This window comes from Homo sapiens, chromosome 3 (assembly GCF_000001405.40).
Source record: "Homo sapiens chromosome 3, GRCh38.p14 Primary Assembly".
Taxonomy (NCBI): Eukaryota; Metazoa; Chordata; class Mammalia; order Primates; family Hominidae; genus Homo; species Homo sapiens.
This window is the reverse complement of record NC_000003.12, coordinates 98,221,592-98,237,836: the sequence shown is the minus strand read 5'-3', so window position 1 is coordinate 98,237,836 and position 16,245 is coordinate 98,221,592. Positions and strand designations below refer to the sequence as shown.

Sequence of the window (16,245 nt, the reverse complement as noted above, 5' to 3'; positions counted from 1 at the left end):
CACGATCTCAGCTCCTCCCATAGTGCTGGGATTATAGGCGTGAGCCACTGCGCCCAGCCCATCATAGCATATTTTAAAAATTTAGTTCTTGATGGTGTAAAAAGTGTGCTGCAGGAAGGAGAAACTGATTCAGGAATCCTAATTAGAAACTTGATACTAAGGTCAAGGGGATCCCAAATTAGATTACACATGATAATCATCTGGGAGAGTTTTTTCATGAAAAATACAGATTGTGAGGTTTTAATGTAGGAATTGATTATTTCAAGAATGAGCTCTAGGAATTTGTATTTCAAAAATACCCTCAAGGTGATTGATATGCATGTGTAGTGTCTAGTCCCTGTGTGATATGATATTGGAAGAGATGGTAAGACAAATGAATAGATTCAAAAGAATTCAGAATGTAGAGTCTCTAGTTACTGTGACATATTTGGTATGGAATACATCATCAGTGAAAGAGAGAGAAGTCAGTTGGTGACCAGGTAGATGGACATTAAACATTGGGGATGAAAACTCGAATTGCTGACAAGTTTTTGGTGTGAGCATCACATCTCAACAACTAGGTGAGATTCAATCAGTAATATGGGCCTATTCGAACTTAATGGAAATAATTACTTGGAATCATTGTAGTATTTGAAAGCATCATTAGGAATGATGTACAAAGTGACTATACGTTCTTTACAAGATGGCCAAGATCTAATCCTCTTTTTTGACACCCATGTCTTGGGGGCTCAGAGGTTACCTACTGCTATAGAAGCCAAAAAAAACAGAAACTCATTTTCCCATTCTTCTTGCCTCTAGAGTGAAGAAATAATTATCTAGGATGGCAATGAAACACACTGATCCTACATTTATAATATGGATAAAAGAAGAAAAAAAAGACAGGATCAAAAGTGGATTTTAGTTGTAAACTCAGCCATGGCAGCAATACAATGAATCCACTGAATGCATCCTTCATTTGACAGTGTGAGTTGTCAGATTATATCCAGAAGTGGGGATAAGGATACAAGAGTTAATTTTTAAGTGACTGACCTTAAGAGTTGTAGTCTAAGAATGTGATTAATTAGAAAGAATGAGTATTTCTATCAGAATAATCTGAATAATTCTTAGAATCATTATAATCAAAACCAGTTTCAATTGTTTAATGTCCTAGTTTGCCACAAGTTGTCAAATAAAGTCATAATAAGCTTAACAACAAAATAAAATATCATTAAAGGAAGAATGTTGTCTTATAACTATTTATTCTATCCATATCATAGTCATGAAACTAAAATATAGAGATAAGCCAGTAATAGTTATCTAATTTCAACCTGGCTATTTTGACAGTTTGTATACCCAATCTAAAATTATGGTAAGTTAAATAGCATTTTCAACATTTCTACAAAGTGTAATGAAAATTATAGATATTTTTTCTTACCCATATTTTGAAAGAAATTTAAGAGAGCCTCTAAAACCATTAGGCTTTCTAAAACAGAAAAAATACAATTGCATGGGAATGCCGATAACACAGGTAGCAATTCGTTGCCTATTCATTCTTTTTGGAGGCTTCTTTCCCCAAACTCAGGAAACTGCTGTTTATATAAATTTGGATTAAACAGAAGAGTCATTCAATTGTACAACTCTGTACATTTGCCAGAAGACGATTGAATGGAAAACTGAAATTCTCATAAGAGTACCAAGGGATTCTCTGGGGAACAAACTGAAGCTGTTCTTGTATGTATTGCGGATTTGGACATATATGAGAAGTCCAGATTGTCCCCAATGGCATTTAACTTCTGGAATCATAAACACTATTTCATGTAAACACTTCTAGTTTTAACAAATGAAATAATATTTTATATACCATTTACCACCACAGATGACACTTCTGTCATGTTTGTGTAAACTTTAGTTAAATGTGAAATTTACTCTTAGTGCTTTGATTAGTATAAGCTTGTCTAAGGTAATTAAAACATAGTTTTAATAAGGCCACATTTTCTGATTCCCTTTAGGAGACAAACCCAAATACAGTTGTCTTTCCCATGAAAACTGCAGCTCAAATTTTAGACATACACCTAGTTCTCCCATTTTATGCTAAAATCTGATGAGAAATCTTGTTAGACAGAGGTGAATGGATGAGCCAATGAAAAATAAAGACAAGGACTGCAGTGGGAGGTGCCCAAGAATTTTTCTGACATAAAAAGAGACACACAGACCAATGGAACAGAATAAAGAACCAGAAGCAAATCCACGCATCTACAGTGAAGTCATTTTTAACAAAGCTTCCAAGAACATACATTGGGGAAAGACAGTCTAATCAATAAATGGTGCTGAGAAAACTAGATATCCATATGCAAAAGAATAAAACTAGACCCCTATCTCTCACCATATCCAAAAATAAAATCAAAATGAATAAAAAGCTTCAATCTAATACCTCAAACTATGAAACTTCTATAGGAAAACACTGAGGGAAGTCTCCAGGACTTCTGGGCAAAGATTTCTTGAGCAATACCCTACAAGAATAGACAATCAAAGAAGACATGGACAAATGGGATTACATCAAGTTAAAAAGCTTCTGCACAAAAAAGGATACAATCAACAAAATGAAGAGACAACCCACAGAATGGGAGAAAATAGTTGTAAACTACTCACCTGAGAATGGATTAATAACCAGAATATATAAGGAACTCAAACCACTTTATAGGAAATAATCTAATAATCTGATCAAATTAAGGGTAAAAGATTTGAATAGACATTTCTCAAAAGAAGACATACAAATGGTAAGCAGGCATATGAAAAGGTGGTCAACATCCCCAATCATCACAGAAATGCAAATCAAAATGGCCTGGCATTTAGTGCCTGTGGTTTTTCCAGGCACACAGTGCAAGCTGTCAGTGGATCTACCATTCTGGCATCTGGAGGACAGTGGCCCTCTTCTCACAGTTCCACTAGGCAGTGCCCCAGTGGGGACTCTGTGTGAGGGCTCCAACCTCACATTTCCCCTTCGCACAGCCCTAGTAGAGGTTCTCCATGAGGGCTCTGCCCCTACAGCAGACTTCTTCCTGAACATCCAGGTGTTTCCATGCATCCTCTGAAATCTAGGCAGAGGTTCCCAAATTCTTTCCTTCTGCACACCCACAGGCCACAGGGAAGCCATCAAGGCTTGGGGCTTGTACCCTCTGAAGCAACGACTCAAGCTATACCTTGACCCATTTTAGCTACAACTGGAGCTGGAGTAGATAGGATGCAGGGTGCCATGTCCCAAGGCTGCAAAGAACAGCGGGGCCCTGGGCCCAGCCCATGAAACCATTTTTCCCTCCTAGGCTTCTTGGCCTGTGATGGGAGGAGCTGCCATGAAGATCACAGAAATGCCCTGCTGACATTTTCTGTACTGTCTTGGCTATTAATATTTGGATCCTTGTTACTCATGCAAATTTCTGCAGCAGGTTTAAATTTCTCCCCAGAAAATGGGTTTTTCTTTTCTGCCACATGGCCAGGCTACACATTTTCCAAACTTTTATGCTCTGCTTCCCTTTTAAAGATAAGTTCCAGTTTCAGAAAATCTCTTTGTTCACACATATAATCATACACTTTTAGAAACAGTCAGGTAACAAAACATCTTTAATGCTTTGTTGCTTAGAAATTTCTTCTCCCAGATACCCTAAATCATCTCTCTCAAGTTCAAAGTTCCACAGATCTCTAGGACAAGGGAAAAATGCCACCACTCACTTTGCTAAAGCATAGCACGAGAGACCTTTACTCCAGTTCCTAATAAGTTTCTCATCTCCATCTGACTATCTCAGCCTGGATTTCATTGTCCAAATCACTATCAGCATTTTGGTCAAAACCATTCAACAAGTCTCTAGGAAGTACCAAACTTTCCTTCATCTTACTGTCTTCTTCTGAGTCCTCCAAAGTGTTCCAACCTCTGCCTGTTACCCAGCTCCAAAGTTGCTTCCTCATTTTCAGGTATCTCTATAGCAGTGCCCCACTCTTTTGGTACTAATTTTCTGTATTAGTTCATTCTTACACTGCTATAAAAAGCTACCTGAGACTGGGTACTTTATGAAGAAAAGAGATTTAATTGACTCACAGTTCCATAGGCTGCACAGGAAGCATGGCTAGGAGGCCCCAGGAAACTTACAATCATGGCAGAAAGTGAACGGGAAGCAAGCACGTCTTACCATGGCAGAGAAGGAGGGAGAGTGAGCAGAGAGAGAGTGAGCAAAGAGAGAAGTGCCACACACTTTGAAACCGCTAGGTCTCGTGAGACCTCACTCACTATCACAAGAACACTAAGGGGGAAATCCGCTCCCATGCAATCACCTCCCATCAGGTCCCTTCCCTGACACATGAAGATTACAATTTGATATCAGATTTGGGGGAGAACACAGAAACACAGAGCCAAACCATATCAATAAACAACACAGAAGTCACTGAAAACTCTTCAGAAGGGTGCACTAAGCAGTATAATATGCATACATAGTTACTGACATTACACAAAATTAAATTATATTCCCGTCTACTTGTGTAACATAATGCTGGAAATAATGAGGAGGATGAAGAAAGATTTAAGGCATTCGGAATGTAGCATCACTAGGATATTGTAAGGCATTCAGAATGTAGCATCACTAGGATGCAAATATTTAGCCCCATATTTGATGGGAAAGTAGTATTCACTGAAGGAAAAAGGAGTCACTTTGTGAGTAGTTATCCAAAATAGAGACTAAGAATTCAGATGCATTGACATGTGTGTAGCGTGAACATGCCTTGAACATCGAGATGAGCTGGTTAGTATTAGTAATATAATATTACTAGAGCAATAGAAATAAAAAAATAATTTGGGTGTCATTAGAGTAGATGAGGGCATAGTTATGAATTATTTATCTATTAGAGAGTATACTGAGAAAAGAGAAGTATAGCAAGAAAAAAAAATGATGGTATAATGACCTAATTTTCTTTGGATATAGTAATAGGATTGCTAGTAATAGTATCGCTGGGTCAAATGGTAGCTCTGTTTCAAGTTCTTTGAAAAATTTACAGACTGCTTTCCACAGTGGCTAAAGTAATTTATGTTCCCACCAACAGTATATATGTGTTCCCTTTTTCTGCAGCCTCTCCAACATCTGTCTTTTTTTTTTTTTTTTTTTTTTTTTTGACTGGTGTGAGATGGTATCTCATTGTGGTTTTGATTTGCATTTTCTCTGATGAGTAGCGATAATGACCATTTTTTCATATGTTTTTTGACCACTTGTATGTCTTCTTTTAAGAAGTGTCTGTCATATTTGCTCATTTCTTAATGGGGGTATTTATTTATTTATTCTCATTGATTTAAGTTCCTTATAGATTGTAGATATTAGACCTTTGTTGGATACACAGTTTGCAAATATTTTCTCCCTTTATGTAGGTTGTTTTTATTCTCTATTGATAGTTTCTTTTGCTGTGCAAAAGTTCTTTAATTAGGTCCCACTTGTCAATTTTTGTTTTCGTTGCAATTGATTTTGTGGACTTAACCAAAAGTGCTTTACCAAGGCCAACATTAAGAGGGGTATTTCCTAGGGTTTCTTCTAGGATATTTATAGTATGAGGTCTTACGTTTAAAAACTTAATCCACCTTGAGTAAGTTTTTGTATATGTTGAAAGGTAAGGGTTCAGTTTTGTTCTTCTGCTTCAGGCTAGCCAGTTATCCTATCACCATTTATTGACTACAGAATCTTTTAACCACTGCATGTTTACCTTGAACTTGAAGGTCAGATGGTTGTAAGTGTGTGACTATCTTTCTGAGTTTTCTACTCTTTTCCATTGGTCTATGTGTCTGGTTTTGTACAAGTACTATGCTGGCTTAAAGGAAATCAGTGCGTGTAGAAATTAAGCAATTTTTAATGGCTTTAGTGAGAGCAATTTTCCTTAAGTAATAGAATAAACATCATCAAATAAGAAGTGAATGGGAAACAAGTAGCACAATAGTGTGGGAATGAGATAGAGTACTCAAAGGTATGTGAACACTTAGCATTAGTCTGCTGCTCATAGACTAATGTAATATTTTTTCTCCTGTAGAGTATTGAAAAGTTCTCAAGAGAAAAGATAGATTGAGATGAGAGAAGAGGAAGATGTTGAAAGGAGAAAAGGGACAGGAAAAGCAGAAACGGAGATTTGTGTGGGTCAAATAAAACAGGAAGGAGGAAGGAAAGATAGGTAGAGAATCATGAAGTCATAGATGGGTAAGCGCAAAAAAGACAAGCCACAAAATAAAAAGAGAGGAAGTATCAGAGATTCATTAAGGCAAAATAGAGGCAAAGACTCAGAAGTTTCGTTTGGATGTGTGCATTGACCCTAGTGTTCATCAATACCAGCTTGAGCTCTGAGTCTTTTGTAAAAAATTAAAAGTTTATTTTTCCTGTGGAATTTGTGTATGATAGTCTTGGACTTGAAATTTTACTCACAAATTTCCCACTGTTCATGAAAATATTGAAACTGAAAGTTTAGTTCATATTTAAATTTTGATCTTCCTTTTTGTTAAAGTAATTAAAACTAAATTTCTCAAGAAACTTTGCTGGTTTTGAGAGCACTTTATTCTCCACCAGCTTTTTGTTTTTGTTTTTGTTTTTTTTGCAGAAAGAAATCAGCCAAAGACTGAATCCTGATACAGAAAATATAAAGAACAAATGGCAGCAATTCCAATTTTAAGTAAATTTTTATATGGAAAACATTTTCTTCCATGCAATCCCAAATCACAAAATAATGAAAAATTCTCAAAAGTTTTTACTGGAATACTTTTAAATTTGTAAGTGCTGAATAAGTTAGGGAAAGTATGTTTTCTGATATGTATATATATATATGTATTACTATTCATATATAAAATGCTGAATAAAAATATATGTATCTCTACATACTGCTGTATATATGTATCTATATAAAAGATATTTAAATTATTGCCAGAAGTTATAGAGAAGTTAATGTTTAATTGGCAGATCTTAAAATTTTAATCAGAATGTGTGATTACACAGAATATACATTTATATCAGAATCATCAGAAAGCTTTTTTATATAAGAACCATAATGAAAGGAAAGTTTAAACTGAGTTTTAAACCATATCACATTCTACTTAGGCCAGGGATGGTGGCTCACACCTGTAATCCCAGCACTCTGGGAGGCCAAGGCGTGTGGATCACCTGAGGTCAGAAGTTCAAGACCAGCCTGGCCATGGTGAAACCCCATCTCTACTAAAAATACAAAAAATTAGCCAGGAGTGGTGGTGTGCACCTGTAATCCCAGCTACTCAGGAGGCTGAGGCAGGAGAATCGCTTGAACCTGGGAGGTGGAGGTTGCAGTGAGCCAAGATTGCACCATTGCACTCCAGCCTAGACAACAAGAGTGAAACTCCGACTAAAAAAAAAAATTCTACTTAACCAGAACTTATCATACAAAGTGATTATAGTTGGGATAACAAGCTAATAAGTCATCATTATAAAAACTCATTTATCGAGAATTTTGCTTATCTAGATTTTAGTCATGATAATAAAACATGAAGATTATTTACTCTTTTTTAATTTGTCCATAATTTTAGCATGCTGTATATTAAATCTAAAATTATTATGAATTACATTGCATTTTAAACTTTAAGAAGAATAACAGATATTATAAAATAATATCTCTTTTACCAATATCATAGGAAATTATGGAGATCCTTTGAAAGAGTTTGGCTTTCTAAAGTAGAGAAAAATATATAATAGTACAGAACTGATAATAACACAGGTAGCAATTCTTTGTACACTGATTCATTTTGGAGGCTTCATTTCCAATCTCAGAAAAATGTTTATATAAACTTGGCTCTATGTGGGTTCAACACAAGGGTTCATCAATTGTATATCTCCACTGTGCCGGGACAGGAAGGTGTAGAGAACTGGAGCATCCCTAAGAGCACCTTAGGATTCCCTGTAGGAGAAAGTGAAGATCTGCAACTGGGCATTGTGGATTTAGATGTGTATAAGAAATGCAGATCATCCTACAGTGTACTATGGACTTCAGAATCATAAACATTAAGTCACTATAAGCCAATTCTTGCTATTAACAATTGAAATTACACTTTATTCCACCATTATCCACAACACATGACACTTCTGACATCTTATGCAAACTTCAGTTTATAAAATTGGATGCTCTGAATGCTGTGATCAGTATAGTGTGATCTCAGCTAGTTAAAACCTGGTTTAAATAAGGCCAAAGATCTAGATTCCCTTCAGAAGCCAGCCCCAAGTAAAATTGTCCTCCTCATGCAAACTGAACCTCAAATTCCAGACATATATCTTCCAGGCAAACTTATATCTGATGAGAAATAAGGGGTTTTACTAGGAAAAGGTCGGGGGAAGAAAAAGGTAAAATAAAGACAAACTTGCAGTGTATTGCCTCTTAGCTGGTGCTGTCACTATGTCTTAATACTGCCATTCTATCATCCTATTCATTAGTGTATATATATATATATATATATATATATATTTTTTTTTTTTTTTTTTTCCAGAGGCCAGGTGTAAGTCTTTGACTGACATTTCCAACTCCTCCTCCTCTCTATATAACCGCCCACTGGGATCTTCTTGCCTTCTACCCACATAGAGGCAATTATCAAGACAGAGGAATTAAAATAGTGAAAGAGTTTAATAGTCATAGAGCTGGCTAAATGGGAGACTAGAGTTTTATTATTACTCAAACAGCCTCTCCAAAAATTCAGAGGCTAGTGTTTTTTAAAGACAATTGTTAGTTTTTAAAGATAGTTGATCGTTTTAAAGATAGTTGTTGGCAGGGGCAAGGAAATGGAAAATGCTGATTGGTTGGTTTAAGGATGAAGTTATAGAGAGTCAAAGCTCTCCTCTTGAGGTGAGTCCAGACGAGCCGGTCTACAAGTCAAAGTGGTGCCTGCTAGTTCATCAGAATACCGGGTCTAAAGATATACCTTGAACACCAAACTCGGATTTGACAATAGTAATGATATCCATAGGAGTAACTGGGCAGAGTAGGAATCCTGTGGCTTCTGGCTGCATGGCTCTTGAACTACAGTTTCTAATCTTGTGATAATTTGTTAGTTTTTCCAATGTGGTCTGGTCCCCAAGGAAGGAGGTGGTTTGTTTTTAGTAAGGACTGTTATGCTCTTCGTTTCAAAGTCAAACTTAAACTAAATTGCTCTAAAAGTTAGTTTGGCCTACACCCATGAATGAAGAAAGAAAGCTTGGATATTAGAAGCACTGTCTAATTATCCTATGTCAGATTCACTGTCATGATCTTCCCATGTGACATTTTTCTGTATAAATTTTTGCAAAGGCAGTTTCATCTATATTTCTCTTTATTATCTTCTACCCGTTAACTCCAAATGTACTAAGCCTTTTGCTCAGTTACCTTTTCACCCATGAGAATAAAAGGAAACTAGACAAATGCCCCATTAAGTCAATTCCTCAGATCAACCAGGTCTGCCTTCTTTAACCACCTTTACACCTTGGTCAATGTCTGAGCTCCATGCAATAATGAAAAATGTCCCTGTTCCAAATAAAAGCCCCAGAAATTTCCTGTAGAATTTAGAATCCTTTTTGGATCATATGATCCAGGACTCTCTGAATTTCACCAATTTATTCAAATGATACTGGAACCTGGTGAAGCCTGCAGCTGAAGCCAAATGTTAGGTAACTAAAATAGATAATAAAGATCCACCCCTCGGCCAGGCGTGGTGGCTGACGCCTGTAATCCCAGCACTTTGGGAGGCCGAGGCAGGCGGATCACGATGTCAGGAGATCGAGACCATCCTGGCTAACACAATGAAACCCCGTCTCTACTAAAAATACAAAAAAATTAGCCAGGCATGGTGGCGGGCGCCTGTAGTCCCAGCTACTTGGGAGGCTGAGGCAGGAGAATGGCGTGAGCCCGGGAGGTGGAGCTTGCAGTGAGCCGAGATCGTGCCACTGCACTCCAGCCTGAGCGACTGAGTGAGACTCTGTCTCAGAGAAAAAAAAAAAAGATCCACCCTTCAATCTTCCAGGAAAACACACCAAAAGCTGAGAAAATAACAAATAATCTTCTAGAACCCATCCCATAATATTTCCTCAATAATTCACTGGTCTGTCATTCAGTCTTGTAAACACAGAAAGAAGAACCAGTTCTGTAAGGCAAGATTAGAAGTACTATTTGTAAAACATTCCGGTCAATCCATGTTGAGTTCAGAAATAGAAAGTACTTATCCTATTTATTAATGGGATTCACCCTAAACCATTAATCTAGTTATAAAATAAACATGGTTTGATAATCCGACCAATTAATACCCAAAATATTTCGCATCTCTGGCACAAAGCCTATTTTATGTTAGATATTTTGAGATCCCATTATAAGAGAAATGTAAAGGAATCTCCATTTGTAGGATGTCTCTCTTTCTGGTCCCCAAAGAGAAGTTTGAGTAAATCACTAAATAGTGGTGAAAGCACTGATTCAGTCTCTGTCACAAACCTTACCTTTGTAAGTGTGGTTATCTTGGCTATCTTGTCCTGACTGTGTCTATCAACACTCTTTTTGTTTGTTTGTTTTGGCAAATAATGACATTTAAATATGAATTCTAAGCACTGTGCCTTTGATATATAAGGCTGATGGTATCATGAATGTTTAGGTAAGTAGCTATGATCAAAATCTTAACAAGCACATGGAAAAGGCTCTGAGAAGTAAAGATTTCTGGTAACATTAGAATCACAACATCGTACCAGATTTAAAGAATCTTTATCAGAAATTTGGTCAAGTATACCCTTTGTAAACAGAATTAAAACATTTACCTATCTCTCCCTAGCTGATCTATCCAGAATTCAGAAACTGAGTATTCTACTTTTGATGACAATATAGGTATTTGTGAAAGTTTAATAAGAATTTGTTCTTCTTGTAAGATAACACATTTGGAAACATTGGTTGTATGACCACAACTTTGACTGGAATGTCATATTGGAGAATGTGTGTAGAATTAGATATGACTAGACAGTTTAAGGAACTGTCTTTATTAAGGAATTGACTTTATGAAGCTAATTATGCCTTGCCTTAGTCCATTCAGTGTTGCCTTAAAGGAATACTTGAAGCTAGGTAATTCATATATAAAAGAAGCTTATTTGGCTTAAAATACTGCAGGCTATAAAAGAAACATTGCACTAACATCTGTTTCTGGTGAGGGCTTCAGCCTGCTTCACTCATGGAGGCAGGTGAAATGGAGTTGGCATGTGCAGCGATCACATGACAAGAGAGGAGGCAAGAGAGGAAGCAAAGGTGTCAGGCACTTTTTAACAATCAGCCATCATAGGAACTAAGAAAGTTAGAACTCACCCATTATTATGGGGGATCCGTACCCATGACTCATACACGTCCCATTCTGTCCTACCTCCAACATTCAGATTCATATTTCACCATGGGATTTGGAGTGGTCCATCCAATCAAATAGCAGCAAGTACCTTCAGAAAAACCGACCTGATATCTGCTCACAAGTTTTCCAGCCTTATTGTTTGAGAGGAAGGTCACTTTCTGGAAGGCTCAGGAAACTGAAAAATATTTTTAGTACCTATTTTGAGTAGAGGAGAGTTTAGCTAATTCTATGGATATTGCAGGTAAACACTGATTTTATGTTCTTGGTATGATTTCATAGCCTGGACAGGCTTTTAAAGTTGAATCCGAGATTATTTATTAAAAGTTCTAACAAGGTAAACTTAAAAAGAGATGATCAATCCTATTCCTACTGCACTTATGTAAATACTCAGTTGAAGTTTAATGAGAGTAGACTTGTTTTGTAAACAAATTAATCTTACTATAACTATATTTGAAAGAAATGGGTGTGACTATAGAGGGAAGATTTATGTTTCAGTAGATAACTGTAATGCACCCATTATTAACTTCTTGTTCTGTCCATTGTCTTTGAGGTTTTATTATCTACCTATAAACTGCCCTATTCCTGAAGCCCTGCAAGCTAGGGCTGGGCAACTTGATATAAACTTCAGAGGACAATCTTCATGCATGCTGCTGTGTGGGCTGCTAAGGAAGTTCACCAAAACATCCAATGACATAAACTAAGCTTGTCCAACATGTGGCCCACAGGCTGCATGCAGCCAAAGATGGCTTTGAATGTGGCCCAACACAAATTAATAAACTTTCTTAAAATATTATGAATTTTTTTGTGATTTTTTTAGCTCATCATTTTTTAGCTATCATTAGTGTTAATGTATTTTATGTGTGGCCCAAGACAATTATTCTTCTTCCAATATGGCCCATGGAAGCTAAGACATTGGACATACCTGACATAAACAGAGACATTCAGATTACTAACCAGAAAAATCATTAGATTGCAACTACCATTTTATTTCATCATCTAAAGTTGCTTTGAGCTTAAATCTAAAAATCTTCTCAACTAACTGCTCTCTGGGCTCAATACTAAATTCACAGATTGTTATAACCATTAACCTTTTCTTTTTATTTGGTTTATTTCTGTTGGTTTGGTTCACTGGCACTTTGGCTATCGAGTATATACCAGTACCTTGTTGTTTTCCTTGTGATAGTCATCACTGTAATCTTCCTGGTATGCTGTATTTTCTCAGTAGTCTTATAGCCATCAAAGTATGCCAGGTTTTCTCACTGTGATTAGAACGGCAAAAAAAGAAAATAAATAAAATATTTAAAAAATAAATAAATAAAAAATAACTGAAAAAGAAGCTTCCTTAAGAGACTAGAAATTATAACTTATGAGTTCTATGCTGAGACAGAGACAAACCAGAAAAAGCGGCCTGTGTGCTTGAGTTTCTGTCAATAATTCATAACTGAGAGGGAGGCTGACCAAAAGGGAAAAAATAATTAATATCATTAAGTAAAAGTTCCTTAGGATGAAGTGGCTCCAGCAAAGTGGGTTCCTGTCTAAGCAAACAGAAATGCAATTCAGTGTAAAAGGTAAAACAAAAGTTAAATTTAAACAACCAGAAAATGCCAACTCACCCCTAACTAGGGACTTTTCACTGGAGTGAAATAATGCTACTGCTCCACTTTAACCAATAAAATATTTCTTTTTGCATTCCTTCTGCATTCACCTTATAAGAGCCTTCATCTCACATGTTCTCACTCATAGGTGGGAATTGAACAATGAGAACACTTGGACACAGGAAGGGGAATATCACACACCGGGGCCTGTTGTGGGGTGGGAGGAGGGGGGAGGAATAGCATTCGGAGATATACCTGATGTAAATGACGAGTTAATGGGTGCAGCACACCAACATGGCACATGTATACATGTGTAACAAACCTGCACGTTGTGCACATGTACCCTAGAACTTAAAGTATAATTAAAAAAAAGAACCTTCATCTCCTCTCTTGCCCCTTCAAAAAGCCCCAAACCACATGCAGTCTCATGTTGCAAAATACATCACCATCTCCTCAAATAACCACTAAATTCTAGTGCCACTACATTCATATTTTAACTATATATGTATCTATGTATATATATTACATGACTCTACATACACATAAAAAATAAACATGTGCATAGATATTGATACCTGAAACATACATGCATATAATCAGGTATCAACGACAATCCAACAAGAGGCACTGAAAAGAGATATAACTCATTAGAGTTTTGTTTGCAAAAAACAATCTGACAGCAATGTTGGGGAAGTAAGTGAGTGCTAGAGGATGGAGGAAATAAGTAACTAGAGGTTTCCAAAACAATATGTGAATAGTTGTTAGAGTAAGGGCCTCAGTGGTATCAGTAAGAATGTGAAAGGAATTTTGGCGTCTAAACATCTTCATCTTTTGACAGAGTGGAATGGTCGATGAATGACTCATATATTCAAGAGTATGAAGTGTGAAGAAGGCTAACAATCAAAGACTTTTTGAGGCAGAAAATATCCAAACTCTTTCTCATGTCCATCTTTTTCCCTCTACTCACTGGGCACTGTGATGTCATATCATCTTAACATTATTTGAACTTTGGTGATGTGAATTTAAAGCCCCGGGTTGTCAAGAACACATTCCAGTAACTTTGTATTATGACTTTTTCTTTAAAAAATCTTAGTAGCTTCATTTTTTTTCTAGGAAGATTAAGACCATTTTCTTCCCATTACGCCACTTATCTTTTCTTCTCTATGCCTACTTCATATTAGTTCTTCTATTTAACCTTTTAATTTTCTGAATTAGGGAAGAGTTTCAGATTGTCTAAAACATAAACATGCTAGAAAGGAAGTTAGAAGCAAATATAGAAAGTTAGGGGCAGCTTTTCTTTTCCTGCTCATATAAGCACAATGAGTTAACAGCATTCTCTTACACCTGTTAACACCTTTCTCATTTTATTTCTAATTGTGTTTCAATTTCAGTTTATTTCTTTACTGGAAATGTGAGTTGATTTCATACAAGAAGTGGAATTCACCCTTTCCCAAAAGTGAAATGAAAGTCCTTTTGAGGACTAGCAGAATTATTGGGATTTACCTCTCTTCACACAAACACAAATTTGCCTCCACTATGAGTTAAATGTGATGGGCGTCTCAGGCAATATAGTTGTAATAGTATCAAAAGCATCACACTCAAGTCCTTATCAGATGAACTAGATAATTTTAGCGTTTAATACATTGATAAAGACATATTGATTAACATACAATCTATAAAATATTTTTATTTGCTTTCTGCTGTCATTATGACATGATTAAAATTTCTTGAATGCTTTTGCATAACATATAGGAATATTTTAATTAGTTAATTAGGTTCTAACATGTTAAGTCATTATAGTGCTAGGACAGTTATAATTACAAAAAAATTTGAAAGTTGGCAAAAACTTAGGTACCTCAAACTAGCATAATTTTGTAACTATTTTATTGAATAGAGAAGAGAGATAAGTATGCAATGCAAATATTTTATTTTAACATTTTTGTGAGTGAACCTATTATTGCTTATTTCTCAGGCTGTAGTAATATGGTTTAACAAACGCACAATGATAGGGTAAAATAGATACTCCATCATATCTTGATTATCTGCTTGTGGAGCTGCAGGGCCCACATACATGAAGAGAAGGAGGCCATAACATAAAGAGAGAGGTATGTAATGGGCTCCACAGGTGGAAAAGGCTTCCCTTATGCCTTTGTTAGACTTCTTTTTTAAGATTGTAAAGAGAACAAACATATAAGATACAAAAACAATCCCAATGGTTAAAACTTGAATTGAACCTGAGAAAATAAAAAACATTAGAAAATTAATACAAGAATCAGTACATGAAATCTTTAACAATGGGATAATGTCACAGTAAAAATGTTGTATCATGTTGGAGTTACAGAAGGTTAGTCTGAATAAAAAACCTTCATGGATTAAAGCATGAAAAAGGCCACCTAGAAATGACAAGACAAATAGCCAGATGCATAGTTCATTGGTCATAATGACTGGATAAAGTAAAGGTTTGCATATGTCTGCATAGCGATCATATGCCATTGATGCCGAGATAAAACATTCTGTGGTTACACTGATTGCAAGGGAAAAAAAATTGTACCATGCATTCAGAGAGAGATATCATCTTACTCTTAGCTAAGAAGTTGATCAGCATCTTCGGAGTCACTGTGGATGATAACCAAGTATCCACAAAAGCTAAACTCCCAAGGAATAAGTACATTGAAATATGAAGGTGAGGGTCTTTCCAGATGAGAAAAATCAGACCAAGATTCCCCATGATGGTGATGAGATCTATTACCAAGAATGCCAGGAACAGGGGTATTTCCCATAAAAATCCTTGTTGACATAAAAATCCTGTGAGAACAAATTCTGTCAGTAATGTTGCATTTTCCTCTTCCATGTCATCACTGCATGTCCTCTAAAATAAAATGCAATAAATGTGAAAGAAAATTTGCAGTGGTATTATGAGTTGAAATGGAAGAAGAGGTGTTGAAATAAACTGTACAATTATCAGAGGTTTCCTAAGTTTATTTATCAGTGCTATAGTTGATGAATATACATTTGAGGCATTAAAGAAATAAAAAATGATAAATTTTAGTTTGACAATTTTTCAGGAATTAATAGATTTAGATTAAAAAGATGGATTCTCTACATATACTAAATTTGTGTGTGCACTATGGAATGTGGCATAAATATCCTGTGTCTGGTACATGGATGCAATGTTAATGGAAAAGGATTTTGAAGGTTTTGGATTAAAAATAAATAAAATGAATGCCATGTGAAAAATCTTAAACTTCACTCTTCACATAATAAGCATGCACCAAATGTTTTAAGATGGGAAATGGCATCATA

The 16,245-nt window shown here is 36.0% G+C and overlaps 1 long non-coding RNA gene and 1 pseudogene across 1 annotated transcript, besides 2 other annotated features; one reads left to right on the top strand and one right to left on the bottom strand.

The window, feature by feature from the left end:
- Window positions 1-463: 463 nt before the first annotated feature.
- Window positions 464-2,312, top strand: LOC101929320 (uncharacterized). Its single transcript, XR_924257.1, has 3 exons — window positions 464-560; window positions 799-963; window positions 1,989-2,312. It is a non-coding gene; the product is annotated as an uncharacterized LOC101929320 (long non-coding RNA).
- Window positions 3,909-4,028: an enhancer, noted in NCBI's record as "active region_20132". NCBI's record gives its function as "activates an Ori minimal core promoter by ATAC-STARR-seq in GM12878 lymphoblastoid cells {active_cell/tissue: GM12878}" and the evidence as "EXISTENCE:reporter gene assay evidence [ECO:0000049][PMID:35858748]".
- Window positions 4,089-4,148: an enhancer, noted in NCBI's record as "active region_20131". NCBI's record gives its function as "activates an Ori minimal core promoter by ATAC-STARR-seq in GM12878 lymphoblastoid cells {active_cell/tissue: GM12878}" and the evidence as "EXISTENCE:reporter gene assay evidence [ECO:0000049][PMID:35858748]".
- OR5H4P (olfactory receptor family 5 subfamily H member 4 pseudogene) lies at window positions 14,871-15,798 on the bottom strand (annotated as a pseudogene).